Source organism: Homo sapiens, chromosome 20 (assembly GCF_000001405.40).
Source record: "Homo sapiens chromosome 20, GRCh38.p14 Primary Assembly".
Lineage (NCBI taxonomy): Eukaryota > Metazoa > Chordata > Mammalia > Primates > Hominidae > Homo > Homo sapiens.
Genome location: NC_000020.11, coordinates 22014740 through 22019619, shown reverse-complemented (window position 1 = coordinate 22019619; position 4880 = coordinate 22014740).

Sequence of the window (4880 nt, the reverse complement as noted above, 5' to 3'; positions counted from 1 at the left end):
TTAAAATATTTTTATAATTTCTATGATAATAGCATATCAGGTGTGACAGAATTACAACATTTGAACATGACATGCAAATTTCACCCTTCATTTCTCTTCTAAATTTCACTTAAAGAATTGTGTTGAAAATTCATTCGCTTGGCCTTAGCAGAGGAAAATCTCTCAAAATCGAAATTAATTTTAGGATCCTGTTGAAGAACAGTGACTGGAGCAAGTTTACCAAGTTAGCATCATTTTCTATAAAAAACAAATGATATAAAAATCTGGACTCTTAAAAAATAGAATTTGTGATATTGCTGAAATGAAGGCAAGAAAATTTTAGGAAAAATAATTTATGAATTGTGCAGGTGTTATTATTCATATGTTTTGATATTCTAAAGATCAAATATCAAAACATATGATATCAGGCCGAGTACAGTGGCTCATGCCTGTAATCCCAGCACTTTGGGAGGCCAAAGTGGGTGGATCACTTGAGGTCAGGAGTTCGAGACCAGCCTGGCTAACATGGTGAAACCATGTCTCTACTAAAAATACAAAAATTAGCCCGGTGTGGTGGCAGGCACCTGAAATCCCAGCTACTCAGGAGGCTGAGGCAGGAGAATTGCTTGAACCAGGGAGGTGGAGGTTGCAGTGAGCCAAGATCATACCACTGCACTCCAGCCCAGGCAACAGAGCGAGACTCTGTCACAAAAAAAAAAAAAAAAAAAAAAAAAAAAATTCAAAGAAGCATATGATATCAAATATCAAAACATATCAATAAATGCATTTTGATATTCTAAACATCACTGGTATGTGCACAATAATAATTAAATTCAGTCATATTTGATATTTTGCTGATTTTCCGTCACACAAAAACCTGTTTGCACATATTTTTCTATTTTATCATGATGAAGGTGGAATATCTGACAATGTAGAAGAATAGAATCTGTTTTATTTAACAACTTTCCCACTTGATTTACAACTTTTAAATATTGTGCCCATGGGATGTGGGCCTCTTCCCAGGCCTCACACATGTCAGGGGTGTGACTAGAGAACATCTACGTACAGGACATAAAGTTCTTATAACTGGGACATTAATTCTTCACATTAGAGATGTAAGAAATAGCAAAGCAAGTATCTAGAGGGATCCACAAACACATGGGCACTGAGGTGAAAGACAAAGTAATAATCCTGTTTGAAAATTGTGGAGAGTAGAGATGGTCTGGGAAAATTCCTTGTTAAGCCACATCAGTCTTAGAAACAGCCCACCTGCGGATCACAAGGTTAGGAGATCGAGACCATCCTGCCTAACACGGTGAAACCCTATCTCTACTAAAAATACAAAAAATTAGCTGGGCATGGTGGCAGTCGCCTGTAGTCCCAGCTACTCGGGAGGCTGAGGCACAAGAATGGCGTGAACCCGGGAGTCGGAGCTTGCAGTGAGCCAAGATCGTGCCACTGCACTCCAGCCTGGGCGACACAGCGAGACTCTGTCTGAAAAAAAAAAAGAAAAGAAACAGCCCACCTGTCCAGCCCCTGATTAATTTCCGAATTCCAAGTTTTTGATGTCCTTGTGCTGTCCCCACCTGCCCAGGTTCCCACTGGTGACATCCTCATGCCACAGCCTTCCCGGGCTCTTCCATGTTCCATATCCCCTCTCCTCCCTCTGCTGCCACAATGTGCTTATCTTTGTCCAATTCCCTCAGACCCTCAGAGCTTCTGGATGTGGAGTTTACACCTTAATGGGTAGGAAAGGTCTCCTCTCTGCATTTACCAACCCAGATAACCCTCCTTTACCATGTTCAGTTGGGATATTATTCATTTTACAGAGTCCTTAACACAAAGGAGTGATTAGTGCAGGGCATTTCAGGTGCTCCAAGGCATGGCTTTTCAGAGCTCCTGAGTGTCCCTTGAGTAGCACGTTAAGATGGGGCAGTTAACCTGATTCCTATTACTTTAGGTGCCTTTTGATTAGAAAGTAGAGATAAGATGGGCAAAAACCCCAAATCAGAACAAATCTTGCACACTGGAATTATACATCTGGTGCACATTTGGGGAGCGTGGAGAGAAAGCAGAGAAGGAAAAATGAGAGAAAAACAGGCCCTCCAGAAGCCCAGTGTCCCGGTGGCCCAGTCTTGCTTATCTGATCTTCTGCTGTTTCTTTTCCCAGAAACCAACTGTCCTTTCGTCAAGAATTTTTGAAACACATAGATTCAAAACTGGCACCGTGCACAGTTTAAGATTGGTTAAAAAACTTCAAAACCCATGAAATTGGACTGAGTTCTGAACTTTACAAAACACACATTCCTCCAGAAAGGTCCTTTGACTTAATTGCCAAATATGCTGAGCTGTACGAGAGTTTCTGGTCATTCTTTTACATCAAAGATCATGTAACTTTTGTTGTTTGGAATAACGAAGTCCCAATGCATTTCACGCATTTATGTTTCACCCCATTCTATAGATGAGAAGATTTCTTTTTTCTTAGTTATTCCATCCTGGTTTTCAGGACACTTGTATTCTCACAGCTCATTTCAAACGTGAAGGGATGCAGTTATGAAATCTATACTGATCCTGGCGGTGTACTTCCAACCCACGAACATGGTTCTTATTATCAATCTAAAATCACTGGCGAGCATCAGTGTCACTGGAATAAAAAATAACTTGGACTAAAGATGATTATTAAGAAAAGCAAAACTCTTTGTTGGTAAGGCTGTAGCCAGAAAGATCATGATTTCCCTTTGTTTCTGGATCAAACAGCCCAGATATCAGTATGTGAACATGTTTTGAAATGCTTTGCAAGTTGTATAATTTCCTGCAGCTGCCTTGCATGTTAATGATAATGAATTTAAAACAAATTTCTCAAGTACAACCTCTGTATAGTATTGACTTGAGGTGATAAGTTATCTTAGTCTGAAAACACTCCCATCCAAAGAAACACCATACTGTGAGCATTTATACAAACTGATAAGTGTCCCATGAGTTATGCATTGGTGAAGTTCAAAGGCTTTGGAGCAGGATATTTAGATGCATTTCTCTTTGTTCAGGTTGCAACTGGAAGTAATCTTAGGGAATACTCACTATTTTGTCCAACAAAAAGGAAATGCATCAAAATCCTGCAAGCTCAAGGTGGGATGTGAACATTTGCATTCCAATGTCCAATAGCATTGCCAAGCACACTAATTGTGAGACTGAGGGTAGCTTTGAAATGGTCACCAGCCAACATAGAACTTCCTTTCTCACACAAAAGCTGAGATGAACTTATTTTCAGGAAATTTTAAATCAACTCTTTTAAGTATTGTACATCCAGGACAAACATTTTGCCTGAGATCAGTTAAAGAGAAAGGCATGGAAAGGATTCCCCCAAGTCTACTTCTCAGAATGTCACTCAGAAATGAAGCTGGAGACTGAAGAAGAGAGGCCAGTGGTGGAAATGAAAAAAAAAAAAAAAGCAAACAAACAGGATTGGCAATGACAGTGCTTAGGAGTCTAGGAGGGAGGTTTGGGAAGGGCATACTTCAAGGGTTAGAGGGTAAACCTGACTATGGTAGAAAATTTCTGCCTAGAAAAGAAAGCTCTCACCTGCAATGTGAACCTTTGAGCATAATGACCCCATGTCCATCATATGTCCTTTTCTTTTTTTTTTTAATTTTATTGTATTATACTTTAAGTTTTACGGTACATGTGCACAATGTGCAGGTTAGTTACATATGTATACATGTTCCATGCTGGTGTGCTGCACCCATTAACTCGTCATTTAGCATTAGGTATACCTCGTAATGCTAACCCTCTCTCCTCCCCCCACCCCACAACAGTCCCCAGAGTGTGATGTTCCCCTTCCTGTGTCCATGTGTTCTCATTGTTCAATTCCCACCTATGAGTGAGACTATGCGGTGTTTGGCTTTTTGTCCTTGCCATAGTTTACTGAGAATGATGATTTCCAATTTCATCCATGTCCCTACAAAGGACATGAACCCATCATTTTTTATGGCTGCATAGTATTCCATGGTGTATATGTGCCACATTTTCTTTCTTTTCTTTTTTTTATTTTATTATTATTATTATACTTTAAGTTTTAGGGTACATGTGCACAATGTGCAGGTTAGTTACATATATATACATCTGCCATGCTGGTGTGCTGCACCCATTAACTCCTCATTTAGCATTAGTTATATCTCCTAATGCTATCCCTCCCCCCTCCCTCCACCCCACAACAGACCCCAGAGTGTGATGTTCCCCTTCCTGTGTCCATGTATTCTCATTGTGCAATTCCCACCTATGAGTGAGACTATGCAGTGTTTGGTTTTTTGTTCTTGCGATAGTTTACTGAGAATGATGATTTCCAATTTCATCCATGTCCCCACAAAGGACATGAACTCATCATTTTTTATGGCTGCATAGTATTCCATGGTGTATATGTGCCACATTTTCTTAATCCAGTCTATAATTGTTGGACATTTGGATTGGTTCCAAGTCTTTGCTATTGTGAATAGAGCCACAATAAACATACATGTGCATGTGTCGTTACAGCAGCATGATTTATAGTCCTTTGGGTATATACCCGTTAATGGGATGGCTGGGTCAAATGGTATTTCTAGTTCTAGATCCCTGAGAAATCACCACACTCACTTCCACAAGGGTTGAACTAGTTTACAGTCCCACCAACAGTGTAAAAGTGTTCCTATTTCTCAACATCCTCTCCAGCATCTGTTGTTTCCCGACTTTTTAATGATCACCATTCTAACTGGTGTGAGATGGTATCTCATTGTGGTTTTGATTTGCATTTCTCTGATGGCCAGTGATGGTGAGCATTTTTTCATGTGTTTTTTGGCTGCATAAATGTCTTCTTTTGAGAAGTGTCTGATCATGTCCTTCGCCCACTTTTTAGTAGGGTTGTTTGTTTT